Source organism: Homo sapiens, chromosome 10 (assembly GCF_000001405.40).
Source record: "Homo sapiens chromosome 10, GRCh38.p14 Primary Assembly".
In the NCBI taxonomy this organism is placed as follows: domain Eukaryota; kingdom Metazoa; phylum Chordata; class Mammalia; order Primates; family Hominidae; genus Homo; species Homo sapiens.
This window is the reverse complement of record NC_000010.11, coordinates 72,278,762-72,299,208: the sequence shown is the minus strand read 5'-3', so window position 1 is coordinate 72,299,208 and position 20,447 is coordinate 72,278,762. Positions and strand designations below refer to the sequence as shown.

The 20,447-nt window shown below is 49.8% G+C and overlaps 8 annotated features.

Annotated features, from left to right (window-relative positions):
- Positions 432-1,088: an enhancer, noted in NCBI's record as "OCT4-NANOG-H3K27ac-H3K4me1 hESC enhancer chr10:74057879-74058535 (GRCh37/hg19 assembly coordinates)". NCBI's record gives its function as "activates a minimal SCP1, AML or CMV promoter by ChIP-STARR-seq in naive H9 embryonic stem cells {active_cell/tissue: H9 hESC(naive)}" and the evidence as "EXISTENCE:reporter gene assay evidence [ECO:0000049][PMID:30033119]".
- Positions 730-819: an enhancer, noted in NCBI's record as "active region_3539". NCBI's record gives its function as "activates an Ori minimal core promoter by ATAC-STARR-seq in GM12878 lymphoblastoid cells {active_cell/tissue: GM12878}" and the evidence as "EXISTENCE:reporter gene assay evidence [ECO:0000049][PMID:35858748]".
- Positions 1,110-1,379: a silencer, noted in NCBI's record as "silent region_2472". NCBI's record gives its function as "represses an Ori minimal core promoter by ATAC-STARR-seq in GM12878 lymphoblastoid cells {active_cell/tissue: GM12878}" and the evidence as "EXISTENCE:reporter gene assay evidence [ECO:0000049][PMID:35858748]".
- Positions 1,740-2,039: an enhancer, noted in NCBI's record as "active region_3538". NCBI's record gives its function as "activates an Ori minimal core promoter by ATAC-STARR-seq in GM12878 lymphoblastoid cells {active_cell/tissue: GM12878}" and the evidence as "EXISTENCE:reporter gene assay evidence [ECO:0000049][PMID:35858748]".
- Positions 3,044-3,338: an enhancer, noted in NCBI's record as "tiled region #1217; HepG2 Activating DNase unmatched - State 8:EnhW". NCBI's record gives its function as "activates a minimal TATA promoter and a strong SV40 promoter by Sharpr-MPRA in HepG2 cells {active_cell/tissue: HepG2}" and the evidence as "EXISTENCE:reporter gene assay evidence [ECO:0000049][PMID:27701403]".
- Positions 6,582-6,631: a silencer, noted in NCBI's record as "silent region_2471". NCBI's record gives its function as "represses an Ori minimal core promoter by ATAC-STARR-seq in GM12878 lymphoblastoid cells {active_cell/tissue: GM12878}" and the evidence as "EXISTENCE:reporter gene assay evidence [ECO:0000049][PMID:35858748]".
- Positions 6,832-6,971: an enhancer, noted in NCBI's record as "active region_3537". NCBI's record gives its function as "activates an Ori minimal core promoter by ATAC-STARR-seq in GM12878 lymphoblastoid cells {active_cell/tissue: GM12878}" and the evidence as "EXISTENCE:reporter gene assay evidence [ECO:0000049][PMID:35858748]".
- Positions 12,190-12,690: an enhancer, noted in NCBI's record as "H3K27ac hESC enhancer chr10:74046277-74046777 (GRCh37/hg19 assembly coordinates)". NCBI's record gives its function as "activates a minimal SCP1, AML or CMV promoter by ChIP-STARR-seq in naive H9 embryonic stem cells {active_cell/tissue: H9 hESC(naive)}" and the evidence as "EXISTENCE:reporter gene assay evidence [ECO:0000049][PMID:30033119]".

Sequence of the window (20,447 nt, the reverse complement as noted above, 5' to 3'; positions counted from 1 at the left end):
CCCTGACTTCCCTGGGCCGACTCAGGCACCCCTTCTCCTGTGCTCCCCTGTGCTTTGTCCACGTCACCCCTGCAGCATTTCTCACATCATGTGGTCCCTGTAGGGTCTGTCTCCCCATTAGACTGTGGGCTTCTGGAGGCCACGAGCGTGGGGCAACACTGGACTCCCTCCCAGAGTGACTGAGGAGGGAGTTAGACACATCCCCACCCAGGGCCATCAGAGGCCAGGGCAGGGTTCTGACCCCAGCTCACCTGCCTCGTTAAACATGGGGCTCAGTTGCCCCTGACATCCCTGCACCATCAGCAAGGGTGGGCAACGTCAGAACTGCGGGCTGGGGCTTCCCTGGAAGGGCCCCGCTTGGGCCCAATGCCAGGCCCCACGGCCCAAGGGTGAGCTACTTTAGCAGGCAGGCATCAGTTTTCTCATTTATGAAATGGGGACAATGAACCTGGTCACCTTCCTCTTCCTGGGAAGAATACGAGGTTAATGAATGCTGAAGACCGGACATGACTGTACCTAAGGTGGAGTGCAGGCTGCCTGAGGCAGGGGAATGACCCTGGTGATCCTTAGCTCTCTCTTCCTGCGGGACACTGAAGGACAGTGTGAGACCCACAATTCAGCGCACCTGCTCACCTTGGTTCCCCATCCTGCCCTGGGTGGGTCTTGGCTTGGAAACCCTAATCCGCTTACTAAGCACCGACCCCACTCCGTGCCCTGCCCGTGCCATGTCCACTCCACTGCACTGAACTGGGTTTCTTTGTCCGTTTCAGCAGACCCTCCTCATCGTGTCCCTCTTCCAGGCAGCCTTCTCTTATAAATTTTGGGCATGCTGGGACTTGTCTACACTGTTGGCAATTGTCAAGGCTTTAGGTCCGAGTTGTTCCTCAACTTCTGACCCCCACCTCATGCTAACAGGACTGGGGCCACAGCGCGTGACTGCAATGTGGCCAGTCCTGGGAGAGCCGGCCTCGCCCCGCGGGGAAGCGGGCGGCCCCTCCGTTGCCATGGCAGCCGAGAGCACCCCCACGAGGCTCCTCATTGGCCACCAAGTCGAGGTCCCGCCTCCGCCATCAGAAGGGACCAACCAAGGCAGACCGGGTGCGACCCAGTTGAGGGATTAGCGGGTGACGCATCTCTCCCAGTCCCTCATGGAGACCCGCGCGCCCGCGATCCTACGGGCGCAGCCGTGGCCCTGGGTCGGGGTCACGCTCGCTGGGCGCGCCTCGGGCGGGGCTGGGGAGGTGCGGAGCTGGGGGGCGCCGCGGGAGGAGGCCACTCAGGCCGCTGGGGAGGGCCGGGCTGCGGCTGGGAGGTTTCCGAGGACGGTCAGGCGGAGGCGGAGGCCGTGCAGGAGGCGGAGGAGGAAAACTATTAAGGAAGGGGGTGGAAGGGCCCCGCTGGCTGAAGACCGCTGAGCTCAGGCGGTGGTAGGACCCTGGGCACGGAGTTGCATGGAACCCTGTTCGAATCCTGCTCTGCACCCGCTTGCGCTGTGGCCTCGCGCACGCGAGCCTTCCTGCCCGGGGGAGCGGGAAGGAGGGAGGGGAGCGGCGAACATCTACTTTGTGCCGATCCTTTTGCTGAAAACCCTAGTTTTCTCTCCAGGATTCCCTCAAAACGACCCTGAAATAGGTGGATGCTATCCTTAGCCCCATTTTACAGATGAGGAAACAGGTTCAAAGGAGGCTACGTGAGAAAAGCCTCGAGTGAGCTCAGTTCCCAGATGTGAGAATGATGTGGCCGGGTTGGTGGTTATCTGCGGGGGGAAGTAGGAGGTGCCCTGCCCACCCCCACGCTCAGGCATCCTGGCCGGCCCGGAAGGAAGAGTTCGTGCCAAGCCGTGAGACTCGGTGGTTTCCTGCAGCAAATCTGCGTCAGGCTCTCTCTGGGGGGTTAACCGCCGCAAACTGGTAACAGCGTCAGAAAGGGGAAACCGAGCTTTATCTGCGGAGGTCCCTGGGCCAGGGACAGCAGATTAAAGAACATGGAGGCAGGGCGCGGTGGCTCACGTCTTAAACCCAGCACTTTGGGAGGCCGAGGCCGGAGGATCGCTTGAGACCAGGAGTTTGAGACCAGCCTGGGCAAGATAGGGAGACCTCTTCTCTAAAAATAAAAAATAAAGAAGATGGAGCCCGCCCCTCGGGAAGGAGGGAAGGGAGAAAGTGTTTCTAACTCCTTATTGTCCTTTCTCTTCTTTTCTTTTCTTTTTTTGAGATGGAGTTTCGCTCTTGTTTCCCAGGCTGGAGTGCAATGGCGCGATCTCGGCTTACCGCAACCTCCGCCTCCCGGGTTCAAGCAATTCTCCTGCCTCAGCCTCCTGAGTAGCTGGGATTACAGGCATGCGCCACCACACCCGGCTAATTTTGTATTTTTAGTAGAGATGGGGTTTCTCCATGTTGGTCAGGCTGGTCTCAAACTACTGACCTCGTGATCCGCCCGCCTCAGCCTCCCAAAGTCCTGGGATTATAGGCGTGAGCCACCGTGCCTGGATCCTTGTTATTTCAAAACAGGCTGAGGTTCCCTCTGGAAGCCCCATTTAAGAACAGACCCATGGCCGGGCGCGGTGGCTCACGCCTGTAATCCCAGCACTTTAGGAGGCCGAGGCGGGCAGATCACCTGAGGTCCGGAGTTTGAGACCAGCCTGACCAACATGGAAAAAACCCCGTCTCTACTAAAAATACAAAAGTAGCCGGTCATGGTGGCGCATGCCTATAATCCCAGCTACTCAGGAGGCTGAGGCAGAAGAATCGCTTGAACCCAGGAGAAGGCAGAGGTTGCGGTGAGCCGAGATCGCACCATTGCACTCCAGCCTGGGCAACAAGAGCGAAACTCCATCTCAAAAAAAAAAAAAGAAAAAAAAGAAAAGAAAATTCACCATATGAATGTCAGACTCTTAATGATGCAAATGCCAGAAAACCTGACTCAAACTGATTTATGCTAAAAAGGGAATCTACTGGCTCAGGAAACTGAGAACCCCAGGCATGACTCGATCTGGCGACACCACGACGTCATGAAGACTCATTTCCCAGAGTCTTTGTACTTGTTTGTACTTTGCCTTTGCTGTCTTGGGAAGTGTTTGGGCTCCATGAGCACCTGCTGCAGCTGCAGGGGCACATCATCCCAAGTTCCAGTTGAGTAGAAAGAGGCTCTGTCCTTGGGAATTGTGACACATGTCCCGGGTTTCACTGTAACTGGACAGTTGGGGTCATGTGACCACACAGATACCAGGGGCAAGGCAGGAATAACCCTGTGTTGATTGGCAAATCTGTTCACAGGCCCCACACCTGCAGCCTCACCTGCTCCAATGGGCTGAAAAGGAAGGAGGGAAGAGGGTTTCTCCAAAGGAGGAACTGAAGAGATATTGAATGGGTGCCCATTGGTAACACCCCAATGCCAGGGCTTCAGAACCCACCTCCTGACCCCCTCTGCACCTTGTACTACAGGTGCCAGTCAGGGGGAAACGGATTGGAAAGTGAGGGTCTTGCCCTGGGAGAGTGCCCACCCCTTCCTCGCTGGTCCCATGTCAGTCGTCCCAAGTCAGTCCTCATCACATCCAGTGCCCATCCCCCTCCCCACCCCCTCACCCTGGCTCCTGTTGCTCCCTGGAGGGTCCTTGAAGCCCTTCTGGTTGCTGTAGCCCGGGCGACTGCCTGCCATGCCTCCGAAGGCCCTCCATGTTTAGCTGGAGTGATGCAGTATTGGGGGATCCAGTTGCCTCTCGTTTCTCCAGCAGAGGGGAGCTTCCTCAGGGACTGGCACTATGTTCTCCCTTCCTCTGTGTGTGGTCCCTCTCTGGGACCAGGCAGGATTTGTGCAGTGGGCAGCAGGCGTGATTTTGAGGGACCCTAGGAAGGACCTTACCTACCCCTGTATGCCTTACTTTTTAAAATCCCATAATTAGATGGGGTTTCACTCCTTTAATTCCTGTTACGATTCATATGCCTCTGAGAGAGAGTATAGTAGATCATTTCTTTTTTTTTTTGAGACAGAGTTTCACTCTTGTCGCCCAGGCCAGAATGAAGTGGCACAATCACGGCCCACTGCAACCTCCACCCCCTGGGTTCAAGCAGTTCTGCCTCAGCCTCCTGAATAGCTAGGATTACAGGCATGTGCCACCCCACCTGGCTAACTTTTGTATTTTAGTAGAGACAGAGTTTTGCCATGTTAGCCAGGCTGGTCTCGAACTCCTGACCTCAGGTGATCCACTTGCTTCGGCCTCCCAAAGTGCTAGGATTACAGGCATGAGTGGAGCATAGTAGATCTTATCATTCATTTACACTTTAGTGTGAAGTAGTTCACAGCATCCTTCCTGAGAGCAGGCACATATTAGGCACTTGATCATGGACATCATGCCTAATGTGTGCCCTGCTCTTATTGAAAAGCCTTTCATGCATTATCTCATTTAATCTTCACAACTCTGTGAGGTAGGAACTAGTATAATCCCTGTTTTACAGATGAGAAAACTGAGGTCCAGAGGAGTTAAGGACCTTGCCAAAGGTCTCCAAGCAGTGGAGCAGGGATGTGAACACAAGAAGTCTGGTTCCAGAGCCTGCACTGCCTATCCCTCCACTGAGATAATCCCTAACACTCTTTAGTTGACAAATGTATTCATATACATTTTTTGGGTCTCCCTACAATTCAGCGAGGTAGTTGCTATGGTCACTCCCATTTTATAGAGGAGAATATTTAAGTGGCTAAGTTCAGTCAATAGTGAGCAGCAGGTCCAGAGTTTAGACCAGTGCCCCATTTCAAATGGGCTCTTCTCCCTGGACCCCACACAGCACCTGGTAAGAGGAGAGCCTTGAGTCAGTTCCCTGGTGTCCTGGGGACAGAGGGAGAGTGTGGTGCGGATGGAAGCTGGGAGCTTCCAGAACAAACTCAACCCTTCCTTCATTCTTCCTCTTCTCCCTCCTGCCTTCTCTTCCTTCTTTCTACTCATTCATTCATCCACCTGACCACCTGGTAAGGGTCAAAGCTGTGGGTATGACCATAACAAGTGTCCCTCAAAGAGCTGACAGGCTAAAAACTGGCGGGGCAAGGTGGCTTATGCCTGTAATCCCAGCTCTTTGGGAGACTGAGGTGGGAGGATCACTTGAGCCCAGGAGATCAAGGCTGCAGTGATCCATGATTGCACTCTAGCCTGGGCTACAGAGTGAGACTGTCTCAAAACAAAAACTAACAACACATGCTGTTTGTTGAGTGTTAATGGTGAGTAAGGCTCTGTGCTGAGTGCTGAGCATGCCACACCCTCACAACCATCTTTTTTAGGTAGGAGACTGGGGCTTAGGAAGGACTGCCCCAGGCCGGGCGCGGTGGCTCAGGCCTGTACTCCCAGCACTTTGGGAGGCCAAGGCGGGCAGATCACCTGAGGTCAGGAGTTCGAGACCAGCCTGGCCAACATGGTGAAACCCCATCTCTACTAAAAATACAAAAATTAGCTGGGTGTGGTGGTGGGCGCCTGTAGTCCAAGCTACTTGGGAGGCTGAGGCAGGAGAATTGCTTGAACCGGGACCCGAGAGGCAGAGGTTGCAGTGAGCCAAGATCACGCCATTGCACTCCAGCCTGGGCTACAGAGCAAGACTACGTCTCAAAAAAAAAAAAAAAAAAAAAAAAAAAGGAAGGACTGCCCCAAGGCCAACTCCAGCCTGACTCCATAGTGGGAGCATCTCACCATCTCACCACTAGGCTGGACTGCCTCCCTCTTGGAGTATAGTGAGGGCCAAGTGGGTACTTATGGATAATGAACATACACACACACACACACACACACACACACACACACACCCCTCTGGCTCTTTGACTCCAGCTCCCAACACCAGAGGCAGCCATCTCTGCTGTCTTCTAGCACTTGCCTACCACCAGGAGCCAGGCCACCTCAAAGAGGAAGCAGAATGGGGAGGGCCACCTCACACAGCAGGGACAGGCCACACACTTCAGGACCTGTGGATGGTACCTCTCAGGGAGATTGAACGAGAGTGACTTAACCAGAGCTCCTAGAAGGGCTTGCAGGGTGTGGGGGAGGCCTTGACTGGTCTCCCTGGACAGACTTCTAAGCATGACTTCGTTGCGCCTCAGTTTCCTATTCTGTATTTGACCTGCTTACAAGCTGCATCTGAAGGATTAGCCATCGGAAACTTCCTAGAACTGGCTGGATGCTTCATCCGCCCTGCCTGCTGACCTGGTTCTTCCCTGTTCTTCATGGCGATGGTTTGCTACTTTACAGATGTGGAAACAGGGCTCAGAGGGGTGGGCCCAAGCCACCTAAGGAGTGTTAGAAATTTAATGTGAGAACCCACCCAGGTCTCAATTTTAATACCCCATCAAGTTTCTACTAAGCACTCACGTATGCCAGAGTCTGAGCTAAGCCCAGGAGATAGAGCAGTGAGCAGGGTAGGTTTTTCCCACCTCTGGGGCACCAATTCTAGGAGGGGTGCCAGACAAAGAAATGATGTAGGACAAAGTGACAAGAGTGAGAAGACTTGGCAGGGCAGAGGACAGTGGGCTGCTCAGGGCTGTGTCAGCTACCATACTTGGGAGGACCCAGCGGAGCAAAGGTTTGGGGACTGTGGAGTTGCTGTGGGGGAGGCTGGGGTCGCAGATCTCAGTATTTCTGTCTTAAGTGGGGTGCTGACTCAGAGGGAGAGAGTTGGAGCTACCTCAGCCTCAAAAATACCGAGACCAAGCCCACTTTCAGCCTCTGCCGCTGCTCTCAGGCCATACTCTGCTTACCTGGAATTTCAAACCCAACAATTTCCTTGTCTTGGGTGGTTTCCAGCCCCACCTGCTTTCCTGGAGCCTAGCTCATCCATCACTCCTGCCAGGCGTGTACTAGTGTCACTCTGAGTAACTCCAGGTACCCAGGGTGACCTCACCTGCTCCTGATTCAGTTTGAGTCATTCTCCCCATTTCTAGAAGATGGCTCTTGGCCATTCTTTTTTTTTCTTTTTTTAGACCGAGTCTTACTCTTGTTGCCCAGGCTGGAGTCCAAAGGCATGATCTCGGCTCACCGCAACCTCCGCCACTCGGGTTCAAGCGATTCTCCTGCCTCAGCCTCCTGAGTAGCTGGGATTACAGGCATGTGCCACCATTCCCGGCTAATTTTGTATTTTTAGCAGAGATGGGGTTTTTCCATGTTGGTCAGGCTGGTCTCAAACTCCCGACCTCAGGTGATCTGCCCACCTCGGCCTCCCAAAGTGCTGGGATTACAGGCGTGAGACACTGCGCCCAGCCAGCTCTTGGCCATTCTTACCTCGTGCTCCAGCACCTACGGCCTCTGGGAGCAGCAGGTCCCCCTCCCCAACCTGCTGATTAACCAAGTCTATGGCAGGGAAGGGTGGGGAAACAGAGGCAGGCCTGGGCCCACCTAAAAATGAGGCAGGATCCCCAGCAGGAGATGTGGGGGAGCCCTAGAAGGGAACCCTCAGCCATGGGAATTAACTCCCTCCCTCTTCAGCTCATCTCTGCTATCTCCTTTCCAATAATCACCAACATTCTCCAATCTACTTTCCTATTTTGAAATAATTTTTAAGTTTTTAATGTTTTTGTAGAGATGGGGTCTCGCTATATTGCCCAGGCTGGATTCAAACTCCTGGGCTCAAGTGATCCTCCTGCCTCAGTCTCCCAAATATTTATAGCTGGGATTATAGGTGCGGGCCATCACGCCAGGCTTACTTTCCTGTTTTTAACAGGAAAAGGACATTACGTGGGAAGAACAGCGATTGTTAATTGATCATTTGATTGATTGAGCTGGGCACTCTCTAGAAATTAGAGTCTTACAATATTTCATGATTTGTTTTCATTTTCCAGATGAGGAAACTGAGGCTCAGAGAGGATACTTGACTTATCCAAGGTCACACAGCAAGGAATTGGCTGAGCTGGGTTGGAACCCAGGTGTATCTGACTTCAGAGTTGTTTAACCAGGGCCATGTACTTAACCACCACACTCCCCAGCTGCCCACAGATGGGAGAGATAAGAGGAAGATCACTCCACCCACAGAGCTGGAGCCTGCTCAGATCCAGCCTCATGCACCACCCCCAGATCCCTTTGTAGTAGTATAGGAGGGGACAGGAGCTCTACCCAAGAGTTTGAGGGCCATCACTTCCTTAGTGGGAAGAGCCCACCACAGGGCACTCCCCTTGCGAGCGAGTGGGCCAGACCTGTGCAGCTTGGTAGGAGTCATGGCTGGGGATCCTGCCTCATTTGTAGGTGGGCCTAGGCCTGCCTGTCTGTTTCCCTAACCTTTCCTCCCATAGCTGGTCCCTAGTCCCCTACAGATTCCTCCCACCAGCCTCTTGGACTCCAGCCTCCCTCTCCCACCCATCCAACCCTCATGCCAGACGAGGCCGTGCAGCTAGGAGCTGTTCCTTCCAACATGGAGACCACTGCCATGTGTGGCTGTTGAGCCCTTGACATGTGCCTAATGCTGCTGAGGAGCTGCACTTTAAATTTTATTTAATTTGGCCGGGCGCAGTGGCTCAAGCCTGTAATCCCAGCACTTAGGGAGGCCGAGGCGGGCGGATCACGAGGTCAGGAGATCAAGACCATCCTGGTTAACACGGTGAAACCCTGTCTCTACTAAAAATACAAAAAAATTAGCCGGGCGTAGTGGCGGGCGCCTGTAGTCCCAGCTACTCGGGAGGCTGAGGCAGGAGAATGGCGTGAACCCAGGAGGCAGAGCTTGCAGTGAGCCGAGATCACGCCACTGCACTCCAGCCTGGGGGACAGAGTGAGACTCCGTCTCAAAAAAAATTTTTTTAAATTTAATTTTAATTAATGTACCTCTAAGTTTAAAAAGTGATACTCAGCCAGGCAAGGTGGCTCATGGCTCATGCCTGCAATCCTAGCACTTTGGGAGGCCAAGGCGGGCAGATCACGAGGTCAGGAGCTCAAGAGCAGCCTGGCCAACATGGTGAAACACTGTCTCTACTAAAAATACAAAAATTAGCTGGGCGTGGTGGCGGGTACCTGCAATCCCAGCTACTCAGGAGGCTGAGGCAGGAGAATCACTTGAACCCGGGAGGCGGAGGTTGCAGTGAGCCGAGATTGCACCGTTCCACTCCAGCCCAGGCGACAGAGCAAGACTCCCTCTCAAAAAAAAAAAAAAAAAAAAAGTGATACTCCATTCAGATATTGGAAAATGTTTAAGTATGTTTGGAACAACTTGTGTACATGAATCTAGTTTTTCAACTGCAAATTTTATGAAATCTAAATACAGATCATTTTTCTGATGAAAATTTAGCAAATGCTGCCGGGCGCGGTTGCTCATGCCTGTAATCCCAGCACTATGGGAGGCTCAGGCGGGGTATCACGAGGTCAGGAGATCAAGACCATCCTGGCTAACACGGTGAAACCCCGTCTCTACTAAAAATACACACACACACACACACACACACACACACACACACAAATTAGCCGGGCGGGGCGGTGGGCGCCTGTAGTCCCAGCTACTTGCGAGGCTGAGGCAGGAGAATGGCATGAACCCGGGAGGCGGAGCTTGCAGTGAGAGGAGATCGCGCCACTGCACTCCAGTCTGGGCAACAGAGCAAGACTCCATCTCAAAAAAAAAAAAAAAAAAAAAGAAAAGAAAAAAGAAAATTTAGCAATGCTGTAACTATAAACTAGGTACCAGATTTTGGAGACATAGTTAAAGAAAATGTAAAATACCTAATTCATATTTTTATATTGATTCATGTTTAATGATACCATTTTTATGTCAATGTTTGTTTGTTTGTTTGTTTGTTTGTTTTGAGACGGAGTTTCGCTCTTGTTGCCCAGGCTGGAGTGCAGTGGCGCGATCTCGGCTCACTGCAACCTCCGCCTCCCGGGTTCAAGCGATTCTCCTGCCTCAGCCTTCCTGAGTAGCTGGGATTACAGGCATGCAACACCACGCCTGGCTAATTTTGTATTTTTAGTAGAGACGGGATTTCTCCATGTTGGTCAGGCTGGTCTCAAACTCCGGACCTCAGATGATCCACCTGCTTTGGCCTCCCAAAGTGCTGGGATTACACGGGCATGAGCCACCAGGCCCGGCCTTTTATGTCAGATTAAATAAAATGTTATTAAAGTTAATGTCACCTGATTCTATATTTTAGTGAGGCTAATGGAAAATTTTAAATTACTTATGTGGCTCTTATTATATTTCTTTTTTTTTTTTTTGAGACAGAGTCTTGCTCTATCCCCCATGCTGGAGTGCAGTGGCGTGATCTCAGCTTACTGCAACCTCCACCTCCTGAGTTCAAGCGATTCTCATGCCTCAGCTTCCCGAGTAGCTGGGATTACAGGTGCCTGCTACCACGCCGAGCTAATTTTTGTATTTTTGGTAGAGATGGGGTTTCACCATGTTGGCCAGGCTGATCTTGAACTCCTGACTTCAGCGATCTGCCCGCCCTGGCCTCCCAAAGTTCTGGGATTACAGGCATGAGTCACCGCACCCAGCCCTGTATTATATTTCTATTGGACACTGCTAGCCCGGAGGTCAAATGTGGAGGTTCGCCGCGCACGGTGGTTCACGCCTGTAATCCCAGCACTTTGGGAAGCTGAGGTGGACAGATCACCTTAGGTCAGGAGTTCAAGACCAGCCTGGCCAATATGGTGAAACCCCATTTCTAATAAAAATACAAAAAAAATTAGCCGGATGTGGTGGTGTGCACCTGTAGTCCCAACTACTAGGGAGGCTGAGGCAGGAGAATTGCTTGAACCTGGGAGGTGGAGGTTGCAGTGAGCCAAGATCAGGCCACTGCACTCCAGCCTAGGCAGTAAAGTGAGACTCCGTCTTAAAAAAAAAAAAAAAACAGGCCGGGCGCGGTGGCTCACGCCTGTAATCCCAGCACTTTGGGAGGCCGAGGCGGGTGGATCATGAGGTCAGGAGATCGAGACCATCCTGGCTAACAAGGTGAAACCCCATCTCTACTAAAAATACAAAAAATTAGCCAGGCGCGGTGGCGGGCGCCTGTAGTCCCAGCTACTCGGGAGGCTGAGGCAGGACAATGGCGTGAACCCGGGAAGCGGAACTTGCAGTGAGCCGAGATTGCGCCACTGCAGTCCGCAGTCCGGCCTGGGCGACAGAGCGAGACTCCGTCTCAAAAAACAAACAAAAAAAACAAGTGGAGGTTCGAATCCTGTCTCTGTGTGTCCTTGAGCAACTTCACAAACCTCTCTTGGCCTCAGTTTCCTCACCTATAAAACAGGTGGCACCTTTCCCATACAGTTGCTCAGAGGAATGAATGAGATAATGTTTGTAAGGCACTTAGCACAGTGCCTGGCATATAGTAGGTGCTCAGAAAAAAAAAAAATATATATATATATATAGTTATTATAGACTTCCTTTCACCAAGACATTCCAAAGTACAGATCAGTGAATCTCAGCAATATTTACTGAGGCTGGATGCGGTGGCTCACACCTGCAATCCCAACACTTTGGGAAGCGAAGGTGAGAGGATTGCTTGAAACCAAGAGTTTGAGACCAGCCTGGGCAACAAAGTGAGACTCCCATCTCTACGAATAACAATAAGAACAATAAAACATTAGCTAGGTGTGGTGGTGCATGCCTGTGGTCCCAGCTACTTGGGAGGCTGAAGTGGGAGGATCACTTCAGCCTGGGAGGTTGAGGCTGCAGTGAGCTGTGTTTGTGCCACTGCACTACAGCTTGGGTGACAGAGCAAGAAAAAATAAAAACAAACAAACAAAAATGACTGAGCTAGCTGTGTGCCAGGCCCTTGAAACAAGCCCAGCAATACCTCTGCTCTCATGGAACTCCCATCCTGTAGAAGGGAGGTGGCCACTGAACAAAGACACAGGCTAACTTCTGGTGGTGTTAAGGGCTGTGGGGGAAAATGTATGCGGAGCTGTGCTAGAGGATGGTTGCTTTTGCAGGGGTGGCCAGGGCATGCTGCCTTGTGGAGCAGGGGACAGTGAGCTAAATCTGATCCTCTAGTAGCTGGCCAGGGGATGCTCTGAGGGAAGAGTGTTCCCTGCAGTGGGACAGGCAAGTGCAGAGGCCACAGCACCAGCCCCTGCAACGGCTGCCTGTTTTCTGTATTCCGCAATCGGCTTCACCATACTTTCCATTTCTTGGATCCAACTCTCTCCTGGCCACTGCACTGTCCCTGTGTGCATGACAACCTTTGTAAAGCTGGTCCACGTTATTTTCTTCCTCATCTGTTCTTTTTTTTTTTTTTTTTTCTGAGGTGGAGTCTTGCTCTGTCACCTCTGTCACCCAGGCTGGGGTGCAGTGATGCTATCTGGGCTCACTGCAACCTCTGCCTCCCGGGTTCAAGTGATTCTCCTGCGTCAGCCTCCCAAGTAGCCAGGATTACAGGTGTGCGCCACCACGCCTAATTTTTATATTCTCAGTAGAGACAGGGTTTCATCGTGTTGGCCAGGCTGGTCTTGAACTCCTGACCTCAGGTGATCCACCTGCCTCAGCCTCCCAAAGTGCTGGGATTACAAACGTGAGCCACCGCGCCCGGCCCTCGTCTGTTCTGCACTCTCCTGTCTGCCTAGCAAGTCTCCGCCCTTCTTTGCCCCTCCAACTCTGGTCCCTTATTCTAGGAAGTTGCCCCTGGTCGTTCCTGTTTCCCCTGGTCTCTCTCTGGGGCTCTTCTAGACTGAATGCTTGATTCAGCACCACCCTGCCTCCAGCCCCACTTCATCTTTCTAGATCAGTTGTGGCTCCTCAACAAACTTGCCCCTTTCCTAGGGCAAGAACCAGAACATTCCTCCTAGCACTGAGTTGAGCCATTCAATAAAACCTACGGATTGCCAGTGCTTGGCTCTGGGGAAACCGAGAGGCATGTCTGCCCAGGCAGAATGGAAAATCCCCCGATGGGGGAAGGGCCGTGGAAATTTCTTCTTAACGTTCTCCTTCCAGATTTGGACATGCCCCAGAAAGCAGTCAAGCATTTGCTCAGTGACCTGCAAGAAGGCTCTGTTCTTCCCACCCTGAGCCCCGTGCGCCGCCCCAGGCTTGAACCCAGGGAGGGCGACCGGGTGGGGCTGGAGGAAAACAGCAGCAGTGGCGGCTGGCAGCTGAGCTTTGCCTCATAGAATCTCTCTTAGGTGTCATCCAGTCCCATCCCCTCAGTTCAAAGATGAAGAAACAAGGTCAGTGGAAAAATGAGGCAAAACCACAGGTCTCACCGTTCCCAGTCCAAGCTCTCTCTGTTGCCCCATGTTGCTCGATTTCCTCATCTGTAAAATGGGAATAATAATAGTAGCTATTTTGTAGTCGGTGATAGGTAAAGTGAGTTGAAGATGCGAAAGAGTCCATAAATATGGGCTATTTATCCTCTCCAGTCCTGAGCCTGCCCTTTCTTGCAGCCCCATGGTACAATATGCAGTTCTCAACCCTCTCCTCTGACTTCCTAGAACATCCTAGAATACTAGAAATCCAGAGCTCTCATCTGGCCCCTCACCACTTACCACCTTGTAGGAGTGGGTGCAGCAGGACTTGCCTGTTGAGGTATTTGGAGTGGGACTGGGGTGTAACAGGGCATGAAAGTGCTTGGAAGTATTGTGCACTGGTGGTGGGAATGTAAAATGGTGCAACCGTTATGGAAAATAGTATGGCAGTTTCTCAAACGATGAAAAATCAAATTACCATATGATCTAACAATTCTACTTCTGAGTCTACACCTAAAAGAAGTGGCAGCAGGGACTTGGCGAGATAACTATACACCCATGTTCATAGCAGCACTCTTCACAATAGCCAAAGGATGGGAGCAACCCAGGTGTCTGTGACAGATGAATGGATAAGCAAAATGTGGTGTGTGCATACAACAGAGTACTATGCAGACCGAGAAAGGAAGGAAATGCTGTCACGTGCTACAACATGCATGAACCATAAGGATATTATGCAAAGTGAAATAGGTCAGTCACAAAAAGACAAATACTACATAGTGGCCAGGCACGGTGGCTCACACCTGTATTCCCAGCACTTTGGGAGGCCGAGGCGGGTGGATCACAAGGTCAGGAGTTCAAGACCAGCCTGGTCAACATAGTGAAACCCCATTTCTACTAAAAAAATACAAAAATTAGCTGGGCATGGTGGCATGTGCCTGTAATCTCAGCTACTCGAGAGGCTGAGGCAGTAGAATTGCTTGAACCCGGGAGGCAGAGGTTGCAGTGAGCCGAGATCATGCCACTGCACTCCAGCCTAGGCAACAGAGCAAGACTCCGTCTCAAAAAAAGAAAAAAAAAAAAAGTCACAGCCAGGCGCAGTGGCTCATGCCTGTAATCCCAGCAACTTTGGGAGGCCGAAGCCGGCGGATCACTTGAGATCAGGAGTTCAAGACCGGCCTGACCAACATGGTGACTCCTCATCTCTACTAAAAAATACAAAAATTAGCTGGGTGTGGTGGCGGGCGCCTGTAATCCCAGCTACTCGGGAGGCTGAGGCAGGAGAATTGCTTGAACCTGGGAGGCGGAGGTTGCGGTGAGCTAAGATTGTGCCATTGCACTCCAGCCTGGGCAACAAGAGTGAAACTCCATCTCAAAAAATAAAAAATAAAATAAAATAAAAAAGACCAATACTACATAGTTCCAGTTATATGAGGTACCTAGAGGAGTCAAATTTCTAGAGACAGAAATTAGAATGTTGGTTGCCACGGGAGGAGGAAATAAGTTGTTTAACGGGTACATAGTTTCAATTGTAGAAGAGGGAAAATGTTCTGGAGATTGGTTGTACAATGATGTAAATATACTTAACACTACTAAATCATATGCTCAAAATGGGTCAGATGGCAAAATTTTTATTATGTGTATTTTACCACAATAGTAGTAATAATAATAATAATAAAGTGCTTGGGCTGGGCGCAGTGGCTCACAACTGTAATTCCAGCACTTTGGGAGGCCGAGGAAGGCAGATCACCTGAGGTCAGGAGTTTGAGACCAGCCTGGCCAACATGGTGAAACCCCAACTCTACTAAAAATACAAAAATTAGCCTGGTGTGGTGGCGGGTGCCTGTAACCCCAGCTACTTGGGAGGCTGAGGCAGCAGAATCACTTGAACCCAGGAGGCGGAGGTTGCAGTGAGTCGAGATCATGCCACTGCACTCCAGCCTAGGAGACAAGAGTGAAATTCTGTCTCAAAAAATAATAATAATAATAATAAAATGCTTGAAAGTAGCCCAAATGGGCCTCTCCAGGAGATGTTGGACTTGAGCTATCATGGTCTTTCTTATCCTTCCCACCTTCCACAAGTGTTCTTTTAGCATTTTCTATAAGCCAGACACAAGGCTAGGCACACGAAAATTGACATTCTATTGGCCAAGACAGAGAATAAATAAAATTTGAGCCAAAGTGATCATAGCTTCTTTTTGCTTTCCTTTTCTTAGTGAAATTTTACCATATTTACACTAAACGAAACCATAATTATGGAGCTATAATTTACTTTTTAAACTTCCAGAGCTTTTTTTTTTTTTTTTTTTTTTGAGACAGAGTTTCACTCTTGTTGCCCAGGCTGCAGTGCAATGGCCCCATCTTGGCTCACTGCAACCTCTGCCTCCCAGGTTCAAGCAATTCTCCTGCCTCAGCCTCCCGAGTAGCTGGGATTACAGGTGCATGCCACCGTGCCTGGCTAATTTTTGTATTTTTAGTAGAGATGGGGTTTCATCGTATTGGTCAGGCTGGTCTCAAACTCCTGAACTCAGGTGATCCGCCCACCTTGGCCTCCCAAAGTGCTGGGATTACAGGCATGAGCCACTGTGCCCGGCCCAGAGCTTACTTTATATGCTTTTTTGGGAGTGTTAATTTTTTTTTAATTGAGGTATAATTTGCATGTAGCAAAATGCACCCTTTTTTAGATGTACAATTCCATGAATTTTGACAAATGTATATTTAAAAAACTTTATTGATATAATTTACGTATCACAAATTTCAGTGGATTTTAGTATGTTCAGACTTCTGCATCCATCACCACAATCTGTCTTAGAATATTTTCATCACCCCAAAAAGTAACTTGAGACCCATTAGCCGTCACCCACTCTTTTCCTCAAACTCCCAGCCCTAGGCAACCACTAACCTACTTTCTGTCTCTCTGGATTTTCATATTCTGGACATTTCATATAAATGGAAACATACAATATGTCATCTTTTGTGACATGCATCTTTCATTTAGCGTAATGTTTTGGAAGCTCATCCATGTTGTAGCATGTATCAGAACTGCGTTTCTTTTTATTGCCAAATAATGTTCCATTGTGTGGCTATGCTACACTTTGTTTTGTCTGTTGATGGACATTTGGGTTGTTTCCACTTTTTGGCTATTATGAATAATACTGCTATGAACATTTGTGTACAAGTTTTTTTGCATAGACATACATTTTCATTTATCTTGAATGTATACCTAGAAGTGAAATTGCTAGGTCCTACGGTAACTCTATGGTTAGCATTTTGAGGAACTGCCAAACTGTCTTTTTTTTTTTTTTTTTTTTTGAGATGGAGTCTCGCTTTGTCACCCAGGCTGGAGTACAATGGCAAGATCCCAGCTAACTGCAATCTCCACCTCCCTACAACTTCCACCTACCGGGTTCAAGAAATTATCTTGCCTCAGCTTCCTGAGTAGCTGGGATTACAGGTGCCTGCCTCCACACCGGGCTAATTTTTGTATTTGTATTAGAGACGGGGTTTCACCATGCTGGCCAGGCTGGTCTCCAACTCCCAACCTCAGGCAATCCACCTGCCTCAGCCTCCCAAAGTGCTGGGATTATAGGCGTGAGCCAGTGTGCCTGGTCGCCAAACTGTTTTTCAAAGTGGCTGCATCTGGCCGGTGCAGTGGCTCACGACTGTAATCACAGCACTTTGGGAGGCCAAGGTGGGCAGATCATCTGAGGTCGGGAGTTTGAGAACAACCTGGCCAACATGGTGAAACCCCATCTCTACTAAAAATACGAAAATTAGCCGGGCATAGTGGCTCACACCTGTAATCCCAGCCACTCAGGAGGCTGAGGCAGGAAAATCGCTTGAACCCAGGAGGCGGAGGTTGCAGTGAGCCGAGAACATGCCACTGCACTCCAGCCTGGAGACAGAGCAAGACTCCATCTAAAGTAATAATAATAATAATAATTGCCTAATCTGAGATCATGAAGATTTACTCCTATATGTCTTCTAAGAGTTTTATAGTTTAGCTCTTCCATTTAGACTTATGATTCACTTTCCACTTTGAGTTAATTTTTGTGCATATATATGTATTTTTTTAATTTTTATATTTTAGAGACTGGGTCTCCCCACATTGCCCAGACTGGCCTTGAACTTCTGGGCTCAAGCAATCCTCCTGCATCAGCCTCCCAAGTAGCTAGGCCTATAGGCACATACCACATACCCAGCTATGTATATATACTTAAAAAAAATCAGGTTTATTGATGTATAATTCACGTTAAAAAAATTTATTTTTGGCTGGGCGTGGTGGCTCACGCCTGTAATCCCTGCACTTTGGGAGGCTGAATCGGGCGGATCACAAGGTCATGAGTTCGAGACCATCCTGACCAACATGGAGAAACCCCGTCTCTACTAAAAATACAAAAACTAGCCAAGCATGGTGGCACACACCTATAATCCCAGCTACTCAGGAGGCTGAGGCAGAAGAACTGCTTGAAGCCGGGAGGTGGAGGTTGCAGTGAGCCGAGATTGCACCACTGCACCCCAGCCAGGGCGACAGAATGAGACTCTGTCTCAAAAAAAAAAAAAAAAAAAGAAATCTCAAAAATTAGCCGGGTGTGGCAGCATGTGCCTGTAATCCCAGCTACTCCGGAGGCTGAGGCAGGAGAATGGCTTGAACTCAGGAGGCAAGGTTGCAGTAAGCCAAGATCGCGCCACTGTACTCCAGCCTAGGCAACAGGGCTAGACTCTGTCTCAAAAAAAAAAAAAAAAATGTTTTTCCTGGGAAATTAGGGATAGGGAGATTTGAGTGTATGCCCATTTTCTCTTCTCCTTATGCCCCACGTTTTACTTATTAAAAGCGTGTGTGATTATGTAGGTGTGTGTGATTATGTATGTACATGTGTGTATGTGTGTGAGAGAACTTTTTTTTTTTTGAGATGGAGTTTCACTCTTGTTATCTGGGCTGGAGTGCAATGGCGCCACCTCGGCTCTCTGCAACCTCCGCCTCCTGGGTTCAAGCGATTCTCGTGCCTCAGCCTCCTGAATAGCTGGGATTACAGGCGCCCACCACCACACCAGCTAATTTTTTATATTTTTAGTAGAGACAGGGTTTCACTATGTTGGCCAGGCTGGTCTCGAACTCCTGACCTCAGACAATCCGCCTGCCTCAGCCTCCCAAAGTGCTGGGATTACAGGTGTGAGCCACTGCGCCTGGCTGAAAGAACATTTTTATATCAGCTTCTTAAGGGTTCCTACTTACTTTGACTTTCTCTTGCAGCCCACATGGACCTGTTAGTTATATAGTATATAGGGTGAATGAATAAATGAGTGACCGAGTGAATGCAGCCCACCAACCTCTACATTCAGAGCCGCCAGCTCCACATAGCCACAGGCTGCATCTGCTGCCCCAGAAGTTTCCATGAAGCTGCCCATGGCTGGGATCAAGATGGAAGCTTCTCAGCTGGGCCCCTGCATGGACACGTCTAGGTTTAATGGTTTTCTCTCTAATTTGTGAGTCCTTCTTAAAAAGCCCTTCCATTTCAGGATAATTACGGAGTCCTGTAATGGTCTATTAATTGGGCCTGGTTTTTGTGCCCACATTTCCTCAGCTTCCTCTGGGGTGCCCCAGCAGTACTTGGTTTCCTCCAGCAGCCAAAGTAGGATGTGGCTGACCCAGGCTGCACCTGAGCTGGGAAACTGGGAGGGCTTGTGGGGATTGAGCGGAAGGCCCTGGAGGTAGAAGACCACACACTGCTCATCTTAGTCCTGCAGATCCCTCACTGAGCTCCTCTGCCCCTTGGCATTTCCTCCTGATCCATGAGGTGGAATTAAAGGAATTTTTTTTTTTTAAACAGAGTCTCAATCTGTTGCCCAGTGGCGCAATCTTGGCTCACTGCCACCTCCGCCTCCTGGGTTCAAATGATTCTCCTCCCTCAGCCTCCCGAGTACCTGGGACTACAGGCACACACCATCACGCTTGGCAAATTTGTCTATTTTTAGTAGAGACGGGGTTTCACCACGTTGGCCAGGCTGGTCTCGAACTCCTGACCTCAGGTGATCCACCTATCTCAGCCTCCCAAAGTGCTGGGATTACAGGTGTGAGCCACCACGCCCAGCCTAAAGGAACCTTATATGTAATGCTTAATATGTACCAGAATTAGAATAATGCAACTTAGAAGTATAGCTGTCTGAACATATTTCCCCCAAGTGGAGGGTTTGTTTTTCTTTCATGCTTTTTTTTTTGACACCGAGTCTTGCTCTGTCTCCCAGGCTGGAGTGCGGTGGCGCGATCTCAGCTTACTGTAACCTCTGCCTCTGGGTTGAAGCAATTCTCCTGCCTCAGCCTCTCAAATAGCTGGGTCCACATGCATGTGCCATCACACCCAGCCAATTTTTGTATTTTTAGTAGAGACAGGGTTTCACCATGTTGGCCAGGCTGGTCTCGAATTCCTGACCTCAAGTGATCCACTTGCCTTGGCCTCCTAAAGTGCTGGGATTACAGGCGTGAAGCCACCGTACCCAGCCTTTTTGTTTGTTTGGTTTTTGTTTTTGTTTTTGTTTTTGGTCTTTTTGAGATGGAGTCTTGTTCTGTCACCCAGGCTGGAGTGAGAGCTGGGCTCACTGCAACCTCCGCCTCCCGGGTTCACACGATTCTCCTGCCTCAGCCTCCCAAAGTGCTAGGATTACAGGTGCCCACCCACATGCCCAGCCTTATTTTTCTTTTGAATTTGTTAAGGTCATATGTTGACATGGCTGTTAAATATTTATTTATTTATTTATTTATTTATAGAGTTCTCACTGTGTTGCTCAGGCTGGTCTTGAATTCTTGGGCTCAAGTGATCCTCCCACCTTGGCCTTCCAAAGTGCTGAGATTACAGGCATGAACCACCGGCACCCAGCCAACATGGCTGTTAAGATGGTAACTTTGAAAAGCTGTTAGAGGAACATAAGACCAGAGGGAACAGGAGTCAAAGGGTGGTCCCTATTAAAGGCACTTGCTGTGAAACCAGCCCTGCCATGCTTAGGCTGCCATCTCTATCCAGTCATGGGCGTCCTCTGCCCATAGGGGGCCTTAGTAATGTTGTTATATATATCATTTCCTCACTATCATTCCCACTTTACGGATGAGGAAACTGAAGCTTAGGAAGGTAAAGTTACTGGCCCCAGGTCATTGGCTAGGAAATGGCTGAGCTGGGATCTGAATCCAGATTTCACTAATGCAGGTGGCTTTAGCCACTAATGACACTACCTCCCTTCCAGGACCTTAGCCTTTAATATTCCTCTAAACTAGGTGGTAGGCTAATGAAAAAAACAAAAAACAAACAAACAAAAAAACAACAACAACTCTTTCTAA